General features: G+C 46.6%; 1 protein-coding gene across 4 annotated transcripts in view, besides 2 other annotated features; it reads right to left on the reverse strand.

Moving 5' to 3' along the window:
- Positions 1-14,171, reverse strand: part of MEAK7 (MTOR associated protein MEAK7) — a 28,305-nt gene extending 14,134 nt beyond the window's left edge. The window contains exons 1-4 of one of the 4 annotated variants that reach the window (XM_005256075.3): positions 14,113-14,171; positions 13,470-13,659; positions 7,446-7,623; positions 5,195-5,425 (exon numbers count right to left, since the gene is read on the reverse strand). In XM_005256075.3, coding sequence (XP_005256132.1) covers positions 5,195-5,425; positions 7,446-7,598 — 384 coding nt within the window. In that variant the 5' untranslated portion in view covers positions 7,599-7,623; positions 13,470-13,659; positions 14,113-14,171. Of the gene's footprint in view, positions 1-5,194; positions 5,426-7,445; positions 7,624-12,232; positions 12,271-13,469; positions 13,660-13,940 lie in introns of those variants that run through there. The other 3 variants (NM_020947.4, XM_017023511.2, XM_047434410.1) reach the window with 3 other exon arrangements.
- Positions 13,581-14,081: an enhancer, noted in NCBI's record as "H3K4me1 hESC enhancer chr16:84537675-84538175 (GRCh37/hg19 assembly coordinates)". NCBI's record gives its function as "activates a minimal SCP1, AML or CMV promoter by ChIP-STARR-seq in primed H9 embryonic stem cells {active_cell/tissue: H9 hESC(primed)}" and the evidence as "EXISTENCE:reporter gene assay evidence [ECO:0000049][PMID:30033119]".
- Positions 13,912-13,961: a silencer, noted in NCBI's record as "silent region_7782". NCBI's record gives its function as "represses an Ori minimal core promoter by ATAC-STARR-seq in GM12878 lymphoblastoid cells {active_cell/tissue: GM12878}" and the evidence as "EXISTENCE:reporter gene assay evidence [ECO:0000049][PMID:35858748]".

The following is a 14,176-nucleotide window of genomic DNA, read 5'->3' on the forward strand; positions in this document are numbered from 1 at the left end:
GCCTGAGTTTGGTTCCTACATCAAAATCCTTTCTGGTTTGATATTTGTGTTACTTTTGAAATACCAGTCATTTTTGTCCCAGGTAAAATACGGTAGTAAAAGATTTAAAATGATTTTTTTAAAGAGCTCAATGGTTAAAGTCAGCTTAATTAAAAGCTAATCAAGATGTGTGTGTGTGTGTGTGTGTGTGTGTGTGTGTGTGTGTGTATTTAAAGGGACATAATGCCTTTTTGTCTCTCCTAGGGTCTTGTTTTTAGAAAAAAGAAGATTTATTTCCTTCTCAATCAACTGAATTTTTTTCTCCATTTGCTTCTGCGTGTCTCTCCTTCCTCTTGCTACCCTCCGCTGTATGAAGGACCTAAAATAATGTCTAAGAGTCTGGGATTCCTTAAAGAAAACAGAGAAGGTGCCACACTCGTTTCTGAGAGAAATTTGTTTCTTTACAGAACCCCAAAGTTATAAACAGACCAGTTCCTCTCAGCTCTTAAGCTGCTTTTCTACTGTGTTACCTGATTTTTGTCTAAAAAAGTTATTACTACACAGCTACTCTTTAATGAAACCAAAAGTTGGTTCATTGAAAAGATCAACAAAAATATGAAGAATCTTTAGCTACACTGACAGAAAAAAGGGAGACAATTCAAATTATTTAAATCAAAAACAGAAGTAGGGGGCTGGGCGTGGTGGCTCACGCCTGTAATCCCTCCACTTTGGGAGGCCAAGGCGAGTGGATTACTTGAGGTCAGGAGTTCGAGACCAGTCTGGCCAACGTGGTGAAACTGTATCTCTAAAAATACAAAAATTAACTTTGGGAGGCCAAGGTGGGCAGATCATTTGAGGTTAGGAGGTCGCGACCAGCCTGGCCAACATGATGAGACCCCCGTCTCTACTAAAAATACAAAAATTAACCAGGTATGGTGACACACACCTGTAATCCTACCTACTTGGGATGCTGAGGCAGGAGAATCGCTTGAGCCTGGGAGGCAGAGGTTGTAGTGAGCTGAGGTTGTGCCACTGCACTCCAGACTGGGCAACGGAGCGAGACCCTGTCTTAAAAAAAAAAAAAAAAACGTCTGGGCACGGTGACTCACGCCTATAATCCCAGCACTTTGGGAGGCCGAGGCAGGTGGATCACGAGGTCAGGAGATCAAGGCCATACTGGCTAACATGGTGAAACCCCATCTCTACTAAAAGTACAAAAAATTACCTGGGCGTGGTGGCGTGCACCTGTAGTCCCAGCCACTTGGGAAGCTAAGGCAGGAGAATGACGTGAACCCAGGAGGCGGAGCTTGCAGTGACTGAGATCGCGCCACTGCACTCCAGCCTCGGTGAAGGCGCAAGACTCCGTCTCAAAAAAAAAAAAAAGAAAAGAAAAAAGAAAACAGATTTAAATTTTTTTAAATTAAGGTTATCATATCCATGTAACATTTTGTATTGTTTTTAAAGTCCTTTTGCTGTTAAGTTACAGGGCTGTGATTCCTAGGGCTAAAAGAGACTTGAATCCTGCTAAATCTTCAACACTGAAAACAATTAAAGCCTCATTTTGAGACCCAGGAAAAGATGGCAATCAAACTGTGTTCACGAGACACAGGGCCTGAAATTTAAAATATTTAACCCCTCTAGGCCCAGGGACTATTGTGGAAGAGGTGGATGTATGAGATTGTAAGGGCCGATTTTGAGAGAGAAAATTAGTTCAGAGGTTCTCTGTAAATTAAATATTAATATCAAACATACACTGATCCAACACCAGCATCTGGGTCCTTGTGTCAGATTAACAAGGTTTTCTTGGAGCATAACCCACCTTTTCATTTAAAGAATTATAAAAGGTTATAAAAAGGTTTATACAAATTACATCTTATGGTCAAGATGATTAAAATTTAATAGATTTGTTTATAAGACTTCACAGAGATTTAAGTGGCCTCATACTGTCTTTATTAGGGCTTATTGTTTGGGAAATTAAGTCTCCTCTCTCAAAAAAATAAAGGTTTTTACCCTTTTTTTCAAAACCTTTGAGTTAGCACTTTGGCTAAATGACTTATTTTACAATGACCTGTGATCTTATTTTGTGATATCAAGTGTTTTATTTTATTTATTTATTTATTTATTTATTTTTGGAGATGAAGTCTGACTCTGTCACCCAGGCTAGAGTGCAGTGGCACAATCTTGGCTCACTGCAACCTCCACCTCTCGAGTTCAAGCGATTCTCCTGCCTTGGCCTCCCGAGTAGCTGGGACTACAGGTGTGTGCCACCACGCCTGGCCAATTTTTGTATTTTTGGTAGAGACAGGGTTTCACCATGTTAGCGAGGCTGGTCTTGAACTCTTGACCTCAGATAATCCACCCACCTTGGCCTCCCAAAGTGCTGGCATTACAGGCGTCAGCCACTACGCCCAGCCTATATCAAGTGTTTTAAACTTCTGATATTTGACAAACTTTCCAGAATCAAATTCAAAATTCAGTCCTTTTGACCTCAATTATTGTTTTGATATTAGGTCCCTTGAGCTCCAAGGGAGACATATTGGGCTTACTTGGTATAATACAATCATACAGGAAGCACTGTCAAATATGAAATGGTGTTTAACCATCTTTGGACCACATTTATGTAAGTGTGTTATTAGTATGTGTTCCAAAATTCTATGAGATTCCTGTGATTCTGATGTGTCTTAGTATATGTTATCAGTAGTAATTACTATTATGTAAAGTTGTTGTATGCCAGAGAAGTACCCAAATTTCCTTGTCAATTGTGTCTTTAACCATGGCTGTTCTAAGACTTTTGACATCCACAATTGTTTTACTTTGATCCTTTTATAGGGCAGTTTATAGTCAGCTATAGAACTCTGAAGAGTACTCTTAAATATCGGTTCCGATAACTTCAGAGATTGTGCTGTTGGAATAGAAAGGAAAACTTCTAGGACTCATAGGGGGCTGACGTATTCATGAGGATTGCCGATCCAATATCAAGCAAGCAAGAAGTTAATTGCGTGGACCGAACTAACAGATGACCGAAATAATCTTTTATGACATTTTGTTTACAACATTAGCTGTTTTTTTTCCAGAGTCAAGAAAACTTTCTCTTTTAAGCTATTTACAGCTTTTAACAATTAAAATATACTCTAGTGAGCAAAATTTAAAACATAATCCCTTTCTGTCTACCTAATTTCTCTAAAATTTGGAAACTATTTGTGAGTATTCTTAATTTATGGCAATATAATTATTTGCATACATTCAATAAGAATCTGTTTTCTTTTATAACAGGACATAATTGGAAACACTGGTTATTTCATGAAGGCTTTGACTGGAACAGCATTTTCAGATTACCTTGAGAAAATGAAGCTGACCTGTAGAGCTGATAAAAGCCACTGGACAAACTGGCCTCACACTGTCCTTTACAGGGTCCTGATCTGTAAGTAAAGGATGTCACTTTCTGACAGGCCCAAATACTCCAAGTTTTCTTGGGACCTCAAAGAGAGAGGAATTCACCCAAGTCACATGGGTATCTACAGGCACAGATAAATTCTTGGCTAGGCTTGGAGCTTTTAGAAAGGTCTAATCTAAAAAAATGAAATAAAATAAAATAAAATAAATAAAAATGTCTAATCTCAGACTCCTTAAGGAAAAGTTCTAGCAAAGATAATTCAAAGAGAGTCAGTGTCTATATGGCAAATTATCACTGTTGCTGCACTTTATGCAAAATAATCAAGCTAAGTATAATTAGACTACAACTTATTTTACAAATAAGTTGGTCCTACTATGATTTTGTCTTTAATGAAAGTGGGGAACTGAAGAGAGAAAAATGTTTCAAAATAAACCATAGTACACTGGTTATTGGATTCTAGCTTTGACCAGTGTCAATTTTTATTATTTTCTACAATTTGGACTGAACCCTAGAATTTTTTCCTGGCTACAAGTCTTTAAAATAACATTTCAATCTTTCTCCTTCCTTCTATTCCTTTTTTTCCCCCCATTTTTCTGATTTGAAATCATTAAAAAATAAGCTGTGCTCTTCTTAAAGCTCTGAGAACTAAAGCTAGACAACTTAAACTCTGGAGTAACAGCGACCTATTTATATACAGAACCATTTTCGTACCTGCCTGCTGATATATGGACTTCAGAGTAATATGGCCTATATGAGTTTTCCAGTGTTGTCTTCCCTTTTTTGTTTGTTGTTTTTCTCTCTTCCTCCCCCACTATTTTTTCTTCACGGGACATGAGACTTCACAACCTGGTAAAAATGAGCTTACCTAAAAACATATCTGACTAGGAATAAACCATTCTGGACATGACAGATCAGACAAAACCCAAGCCCTGAGACTCATTTTCCTCTAAAATCCTTTCTCCAAAAGATTTCTGAAAGACAAAGCAGGAAAAAATAAAAACTCAGGACTCCAATTCACTCTGCCAAAAGGAAAAATTAAGCTAAAAGCTGAGTCTTGCAAGAAACTGCCTTTCCCTTTGTTCCTAAGCAGACAGCTACAGATAAAAGGTTTAAAATCTCCACAGCTGGCCAGCGTGGTGGCTCATGCCTATAATCCTACCACTTTGGGAGGCCAAGGCAGGCGGACCACCTAAGCTCAGGAGTTGGAGACCAGCCTGGCCAACGTGGTGAAACCCCGTTTCTACTAAAAATACAAAAATCGGCCAGGCACGGTGGTGTGTGCCTGTAGCCCCAGCTACTCAGGAGGCTGAGGCAGGAGAACCACTTGAACCTGAGAGGCAGAGGTTGCAGTGAGTCAAGATCGCGCCACTCAACTCCAGCCTGGGTGACAGATCAAGACTCCATTTCAAAAAATAAATAAATAAAATAAAATCTCCACAGGTAGTGACTATGCTCACCTGATCATATGTAAAGTGCTGATTTACTGAGTGCAAGACAAACACACATTGACTATTTCCCTACCTGCTCCCTTCCTCTTAACAAAATATGGATTCAGTAATGGGACCAGACCCTCCCTCCTTCCCCTGCAGTCTGCTTTTCCGCTTTAAGTCCTGAAGCCCTCAAAATCATCTTTGGAGAAAGGCACAGGCCTCTCTCCCAGACATGCCCTTAACCTTGGCAAAATAAACTCCGATTAATTGAAACCCAGCTCAAATACTTTTTGGTTTACTCCTCCATGTGCCATGTAACTGGCCTCCATCCCCCCACCGATGGTCACCAAGACTGCTGAGGAGGCTGCAAAGGACCTCGCGGCCTCACTACCTTTTGGACTTCTCTGGCCTTCACGGGACCTTCTGTGGCAGAAATCATTTTCATAATCATGAGACTCTTCTCCTCGGAGTTTCCTTTCAACAGGTGGGACATGGATGCTGTGAACTGCTCCTGGGACACGTTCTCACTGGGTCCCTTCGCCTTCCCTGTCAGGTCGACCCTCCGCATGCCATCATACAGCCTGGTGACCATCTCTGGGGGAAGAGCTTCCCCGACGTGGTTCTGCCGGGGACAAGCAGAAAAATATGGTTAGACAGTGCACAAGTTGAACTTGGTTACTAGGAGTTATTATTTTAGGCAGATAGAGAGGAAAAGGGGTCCTTGGGAAGTTTTCGTTTTTTAAAGCATCTCTGAAAAAGTTTCTTGTAAAGCCCCGTCTCTTAGAGCCAGGCCGGAAACTTTGATATGCAAATGCCGGCCATTAGAAACTGGGTCCACCCACCAAGGTGATTCCCATGGCTTTCTTGCCCTTTCCCCACATGTTCCTGGCAACATGGCCGCCTCCACATATCCCCACGTGTATAGAACATCCATGGTGCCCTGCATTTACTTATTAAAAGGCTAGGGTGGGAGGGCCAGCTTTTTCATGGGCTACGTGAATGACATACCTGGTCAAACCAATCCAGAGCCCTGTGCAAATCAGACATCGCCTCCTCCAGCCTCTGCATATATACCTGGCTGGTGTCCACCGCACTTGAGGACCTCTTCTTTTGGCTTTGGAGCTACCCCTCCCTCCGTCTCTGTACAGGGGAGCCTCTTCCTTCCGCCTTCTCCTTCCTTCTTGCCTATTAAACTCTCCGCTCCTTAAAGCCACTCCACGTGTGTCCATGTCATTTTATCTAAACTGGCATAAGGACCAAGAACCCTGGTGTTCTTCCACTCATCGTGAGCCGTATCAGTAGTATCACAGGAAAATAAGTAGGGGGCCCAGACCAACCTCGGCCACTTCACAATGCTGCTGTCAGCTCCCAAATGCTCCTGCATCACCAGGATGCAGGACGTTCTCTCACCGAAGGGCCTCACACCACCTAAGCGTCCTGGGTGTAGCTCACTTTGGCCATCAGACTCTCCCACAATCTGCTCCCATCCTGCCTCCAAACTCTCCTGTCTTGTCATTCCTGCCTCTGGCCACCATCTGAGCTTCACTCTACTTTGAACATCATCTTCATTCTAGATTCTAGCAGCTGCCATTTGCATGTCGGAATTTATTAACACATGTAACATATGTCTGTGTACAGCTAATTTCGTCTCTACGTTAGGGGTTTCCAAATATACCAGCTTTTACTTCCTGTCCATGTTCCTTGGGCTCAGCATGTATTTTTCATTCATTTTTATTTAAATTTAGGTTTTTTTTGGTTTTTTGTTTGTTTGTTTGTTTGAGACAGGGTCTCCCTCTGTCACCCAGGATGGAGTGTGGTGGCTCAATCACAGCTCACTGGATGTAACCCCCTGGCCAGTTTCCTCATCTGCTCCCATGCTGCACATTCTAGAAGAGGGAGGAGGCTGCTAGGATGGCTGCCTGGACTCCCAGGAAGATGAGCTGACGGCATCTCCTTGTCAGTGTCTTGCCTCAGTCCGAGCACTCAAACCTGCAGCTGAGAGCCCCATGGAACGGGGAAAAACATGGGCAAATGGGCAGTTTTAACTCCCTGCAAGATGAGCCTTGAATCTAAAATGTGATTATTTTGTTAGGAATATCATGAAATTCCTAGCCATCAAACACATACACATTCTAGAGGCAACGGTGCACCTGACACGTCATGGTTCCTGGACCGACGAGTCCAGGAGGGCAGACCCATCACCGCGTCTGTCTCCCCATCTCTGGGAGGGCAGTCAGGAGGGACGTGGTTCAAGAGACACACGAGGCAGGCTATCTCTCTCCTCTGATGTTCATCTCAAGTTAGAAATGTCCCCAAATGTCGTGTGAATCATTCATTATCTACTCCAGGTTCCTTTCTGTAGTACAGATAAGAGACTATTGATTTCAAAAACGGGGAGGGATGCGTTTAGACACTGTCTATGGCTATTTTCACACAGTAACGGCAGAGCAGAGGAGCTACAACAGAGACCGCATAGCTCACAAAGCCAAAACTAGGTCACATCTGGCCCTTTACAGAAAACCAACTTTTCAGTGTTGCCATCCATCCCATTACAAAAACACGAAAGCAGATTCTGGCCTGAAAGCCACAGTTTGCAGACCCCTGCTCCCAACTAAACATGAACCACGGGTTGTTACTCTTGCCTGTAGTGCCTTCAGAGAGAAGGATTTGGATGAGACATTCGGGCTGTTTTTATCTGATGACAGAGCATCAAACAATTGATCAATCTCTGCCTGTTCCTCAGGAAGAAACTGTGAACAAAAGCTCCGCCCCACACGGCTTCTGCTGTTCCCCATCTGTCCTGATATCTGGCAGAATTCTCTGCAGAAGGAAAAGACACAACATTAGAAAAATCAAAATTTAATAATCACAGAAAATAAATGTTGAGAATTATATGGTCAAGTTAATATATACTGATATAGCCACAAAATGTAGCTAAAACACATCAGAGCTACATAATACTGGGTTTTGGGTTTTGTTTTTGTTTTGTGTTGCTGAGGTGGGATCTCACTCTGCTGACCAGGCTGGAGTGCAGTGGTGCCATCACAGCTCCCTGCAGCCTCAACCTCCTGGGCTCGGGCAATCCTCCCCACTCAGCCTCCTGAGTAGCTGGGACTACAGGACCACACCAGGATGCCTGGCTAATTTTTTTTTTTTTGTCTTCTGTAGAGATGGGGTCTTGCTATGTTGCCCAGGCTGGTCTCCAGCTTCTGGCCTTAAGTGATTCTCCTGCCTCAGCCTCCCAAAGTGTTGGGATTAGAGATGTGAACCACCGTGACTAGCTAATATTGTTTTGATGTGACAGAAATCAATAGCTGATACAAACAAAGCTGGAAAAGCCCATCGTGACGCCCATGACCTACTGAAACACACCCATAATTGTCACAAAGTCTGGGTTTGAGAACATAGTGCCCAAGCTAATATAATCAAAGGCAGGACAAAAAAATCTGTATTTTAATCAATCTAAATATTCATTCTTTAAAACCAGAGTTAGAAAATATAAATCAAAGGCTGAACAATCACCTGTATTTGAATAAACTCACCTTGAGAATACTGCTACACACTAGTTGGGAAGTTTTTCCTTTGTGATCCTGGCTCTGCCTCCTCCTAGCTGTGTAGTCTTGGGCAAGCTACTAAAACGCTCTCTGCCTCAATTTCCCCATTTGTAAAGCAAGAGGAGTCACAGCCCAGCCTCAGAAGATTGCCGTGATTATCAACCAAGTCAACCAAAGCAAAGGGCCAAGACCTGCCTGGCACTGACCGTGCCTGTATGATCCCGGCCCGTGAGCCTCATCTGTTTGAGGCGCTGGGGTAGCGTTAACAGAGACTGGCACCAAGAGCAGGTGACCTGGGGCCTTGTTCACTGTCACAAACCTCATTATAGGAAAAGACAAGTGTCAAGCAATCGGGGGATTCAAACAAAAAAGCATGGTTGGAAATGAAAACAAACAAAAAATCTCTCAAGAGGTAAGGTGCTGTGACTGTTAATTCCTGGCCCTGGACTTTTTCCGGAAACCCAGTGTCAATGAGACTGCTGGAGAGAAAACGACCTTCTCCCACACAGGCACCTTGATAAACAAAGTCACTGCAGCAGTAAACTTTCCCCCAAGGTATTTAGCCAAGGGGGAAAGGCCATGCTACTAGGGTGGGGCATGAGTCATGGTCCGCACCAAGCCATGACAACTCAAACCCTCAAGGGGTAACAGGGTAATCAGGATCTTTCTCTTCATTGCGATGAGATTCACATAAAATTAACCATTTTAAAGTGTACAGTGGCATTTAGGACCTTCACAATACGGTGCAACCCTCACAGATCCAAAACATGTTCATCACCCTCGGAGAAAACCCTGTACACGAGCAATCTCCTCTCATTCCTCCCTCCCACATGCCCTGGCCATCACCCGTCTACTTTCTGTCCTGATGCATTTCTGTATTCTGGGCATTTCATATAAATGCAATTATATGGCCAGGCGTGGTGGCTCACACCTGTCATCCGAGCACTTTGGGAGGCCAAGGCAGGAGAATCACTCGAGCCCAGGAGTTTGAGACCAGCCACAGCAACGTAGCAAGACCTCATCTCTACTAAAAACGTAAAAATTCGCCAGGCACGGTGGTATGTGCTTACAGTCCTAGCTGCTCCAAAGGCTGAGGCGGGAGGATCGCGTGAGCACAGGACGTCAAGGCTGCAGTGAGCTATGATCGTGCCACTGCACTCCAGCCTGGGTAAAAGGGCAAGACCCCGTCTCTAAAAAAATAATAAATGGAATTATATGATGTGTGGCCTTTTGTGATTGTCTCTTTTCATTTAGCATCGTGTTTTTGAGGCCCACCTATGTTGTAGCGCGGGTCAGCATTCCACTCCTTTTTATGGCTGATTAGTATTTTGTTGTATGGATGGACCACCTTTTGCTTATCCATCATTAGCTGAAGGACACTGGGGCTGTTTCCACCTTCCGGCTATCATGAATAGTGCTGCAATGAACATCTGAGTACCTGAGTCCCCCTGTTCCAATTTCCAGTGTCGACACCTAGGAGTGGACTTGCTGGGTCACATGGTAATTCTGTTTAACATTCTGAGGGGCCGCCAAGTGCTCTCCACTCTATAATCCCATCAGTAAAGCATGAGCTTCCATCTATCCACACCCCCACTAAAGCGAGTTATTTCTCCGCCTTTTATATGACACCCATCTTCGCAGCGGATGGGCCTTTAACAGGCCTCACTGCTAATGTGCCCCTCTGCACAGGAAGTCTCCACTGGGGGGCTCCTTGGAAGGGGATGGGGGTGCACTTTACACAGACAGGCTGGAAACGAGGGCTTACCCGACCCCGTTTGGGTGCTCACCCACGCCCCATCTGATCTCACCGCTTCCACTCCTCACGTTTCGCAGCAGCAGAAGAGCCCAGAAGGAAAACCTCCAGCCTGGACTCAATGTCCAGCGGCAGGCGGCTGTCCCCAGCTCTGAAACAGAGGGGCTGCACCGGCTGAGTCTGGGTGCTGCAGGGACACAGCCCAAGCAGCCAAAACAAAGCAGACCCACCCTCTGCATCAACTCGAAGAGCCTGCAAGGTGGGCCACACCATCTCCTGAGGTCAGGAGTTCGAAACTAGGTTGGCCAACGACATGAAACCCCATCTCTACTAAAAATACAAAAAAATTAGCCAGGCATGGTGCTGTGCACCTGTAATCCCAGCTACTTGGGAGGCTGAGGCAGAAGAATTGGTTGAACACGGACAGCGGAAGTCGCAGTGAGCCGAGACCACGCCACTACACTCCAGCCTGGGCAACAGAGTTAGACTCGTCTCAAAAAAAAAAAGAAAAAAAAAAAAAAAAAAAAGAGGGGAAACAGAGACAAGGGCATGGGGATGGGTGTGGCCTGGGGGTGTAACAAGAAGAGTGAAGAGTGGAAAAGGTCCCAAAGGTCACATTCCAGCTGAGTCTTCAGAGACTCACAGGTGATTCACCAGGAAGTGGGAACAGCACGCACGGGGCATAAGCAAGAGCGTTGGGATCAGCGAGGCAAGGGTGGAACTCAGGGCACGTGGGGGAGGGCAGCAGAGGGCTGCAGCAGAAGGGGGCCCAGGCCTGACTCCACCCAGCCCCTCACTTCCATCCCACCCCAACTCCCACTTTCTGCCAGAAACAGGCTCCCCCACTGTGGTCGGAGAACAGCAGCAGGGTGCAGCCTGGCCAGCCCTCACCAACCCCAGACAGCCGGGAGAAAGGTGCAGGGCTGGGCAAGTGCCAACAGGCAGGACAGGAACCCAGAAATGCACAGAAGCGGCGCAGACCAGGGCAGGCCCAGGAGATGACAGGAAAGGCTTGGACGCAGAGCCAGGCTGGCAACGCCACTTTTTCAAGCAGGAGAGAGGAGGTTGCATGGGAGGCCCCAGTAGGAACCCCAGGGCTGGTGCCAGTGAGGTGGGAAGGTGGGCAGCCCCTAAGAACACAGCGCTGTCCACAGCACTGCCATTCTTAGTACCTGCAGAGTGCTGGTGAAGGGACACGTCTCAGAACGGCTCAAGGACAGCCCGTCTCCTTTGAGAGCCCCGTGCCAGGCAAGATAAAGAAATGGCAATGGTGTGGTGGCTCACGCCTGTAATCCCAGCACTTTGGGAGGCCGAGGCGGGTGGATCTCCTGAGGTCGGGAGTTCGAGACTAGCTGGACCAACATGGAGAAACCCTGTCTCTACTAAAAATACAAAATTAACCGGGTGTGGTGGTGCATGCCTGTAATCCCAGCTACTTGAGAGGCTGAGGCAGGAGAATTGCTTGAACCCAGGGGGCGGAGGTTGCAATGAGCCAAGATCATGCCATTGCACTCCAGCCTGGGCAACAAGAGTGAAACTCGGTCTCAAAAAAAAAAAAGACAATGCACGCTGGTGCTGGTGCTGACAGCGCACATCAAGGTTGCTTGTACCAGTGGAGCTCGACTGGAGCAGTTTCGTCCCCCAGGGGCATTTGGCAATGACTGGAAAAGTGTGTGGTTGCCACAACTGGGGGAGGGGAGTGCCGTTGGCATCTAGCAGGCAGAGGCCAGGGATACTGCTAAAAATCCTACAGTGCACAGGATGGCCTTACGACGAGGAAGTGTCCGTCCCAGACATCGGTAGGGCTGAAGGTGAGAAAACCTGGCTTCTGAGGATGTAGGGCAGCGGAACAAAATGGAAGCGGAACTTGATACAAGGGAACCCACAGAAGTCTCGAGGCCAATGTAGGGTTGTGTTATGCACAGCTTTGCAGAGAAGAGGCCACCCCATGTACCCAGGTGTACTGTGAAAGTCCCATGACACCGAGAAAACTTGCCAGGGACTGAAAGCTTTCCATCATCAAGCCTATAATCCCAGAACTTTGGGAGGATCATTTGAGGCCAGGAGTTTGAGACCAGCCTGGGCAACATAGTGAGACTTCGTCTCTGCCAAAAATACAAACCTCAGCCGGGTGTGGTGGCGTGTGACTATAGTTCCAGCTATTCAGGAGGCTGAGGTGGGAAGATCGCTTGAACCAGGAGGCAGAGGTCGCAGTGAGCCAAGATCACAACAGTGCACTCCAGCCTGGGTGACAGAGCAAGACTCTGTCTCATAAAAACACAAACAAAAGTTCCAGCAGCCCATAATAAGTGACCAAGATGTTTTGCTTGACCAGACTTTAGTCAGGCTCCTGGGCCCATCTGTGTACCTCTTTGTAAAATCTGGTTTTAGCAAAACAAAAAACAAACAAACAAAAAAACCCACAAAACCACTCATCCTTGATATTTGATCACCATTATCTGTTCACTTGCTATCTAACCAGGTTTAATGCTTAGGTTAGGGATATCCAATCTTTCAGTTTCCCTGGGCCACACTGGAAGAACTGTCTTGGGCCACACATAAAACCCACTAACAATAACTGATAAGTGCATATATCTACATATATGGTAAAAAAAAAATCTCATGTTTTAAGAAAGCTTATGAATTTGTGTTGGATGTCATTCAAAGCCGCCTTAGGCCACATATGGCCCACGGGTTGGACGAGCTTGCCCTAGGTGATGTCTGATCACCCTGGCCTGCCTTCAGTAACAAACTGCTAGGTAAGCTTACCCAGAATCCACCCTAGCGCCCTGATGTTTCCTCAGTCATCTTCCATCCACTGATCCCCACCCTGCTTCCTGGCTTCCCACTTGCCCATGCTATAATCAGAGTTGAGCCCAATCTCTCTCCTTTACTACAAAATCCCATTGCTGTGGTCCCTATACCCATTGCAATGGTCTTCAATAATTAATGTGCTTTTAATAAGCATCATTAATTAATTTCTTTAACATAAGGTTGAGAAGATTAAATAAGGTAACCCAGGGCATTTGATCTGCTTACTGGAGGTCAGAGACAGAATAATGGGCCCAAGACAACAGAGAATGGCTCCTTGGGATCTTGTCTTAGAACAAGAGAAACTGCCCTGCTTGGAAGAAACGGAAGGTTGCTCTGCCTCCGTGATGGAGGGGTGGACAGGGACCGATTGTCTGCAGGATGGCCCCCAAGGTTCCCACTAGTATCCTAGGAATGGCTTAGTCACCTCCTGCTCAGAGCTTCTCCAACAGGCTGTTACATGGCTGCTTCCCACCCTGGCTGCCAAGCTCCAACTCTCTACTCCAAGGGCCCCGCATCCCTAGAGCCACACAAGGGTCCCTCCGTACCCCCACAAGCTGGGGAGATTCCAACTGCCTCATCTGGACAGGCTTCGAAGTCCTGTCTGTGTCTCAGAGCCCAGAGGCCCTTGTGCGAAGGGGCAGCTTGAGCCTGGGCAAGAAGTTCCTGTGGGCCAGAAGGTGACCTGTCCTGTGCTGGCCACCTACATGGCCTGGGAACAGTTATCAGCTCACTGTCCTGGAAAAGCCCAGATGGGTGTGGTCAGAATACAAGAAGGAAAACCCCCTCCACACACACTTCAGTGTCTACCCCAGACTCGCCTCCTCCGTGGAGGCACCCCTCCCTTTCCGCGTCTACACAGGCTCTGAATCCCCCTTCAACACGGCTGGCCTTGGCCCTGGGGGAAGCACCTCGCCACCCTCTTACCTTGACCACATAAACAGCGGGAGGTGCAGGATGATTCTGATCCCCCCCAGGAGACCCTCCCTCCATCCCGCCCCGCTGTCCCCACCCCTCACCTCCCCGCAGCCTTCACCTCTCCCTCCCCCGACCCGAGGGCCTGAAGAGGCGTGGGAGGCCAGGGAGGGGCAGGGCCCAGGCCTACTCTGGACCCGTCTGCTCCAGTCCCCCGACTCAGCTGGGCCTGCGCCTCTGGGTCAGCTCACTGCGAACCTCAGCCCAGGTACCTACCCTGCCGGGCTTCCTGGTGCTGTCCGGTCCGGTCCAGCAGCCCACGGGCTCCTCTCGAGAGCCG

This window comes from Homo sapiens, chromosome 16 (genome assembly GCF_000001405.40).
Source record: "Homo sapiens chromosome 16, GRCh38.p14 Primary Assembly".
NCBI lineage: Eukaryota > Metazoa > Chordata > Mammalia > Primates > Hominidae > Homo > Homo sapiens.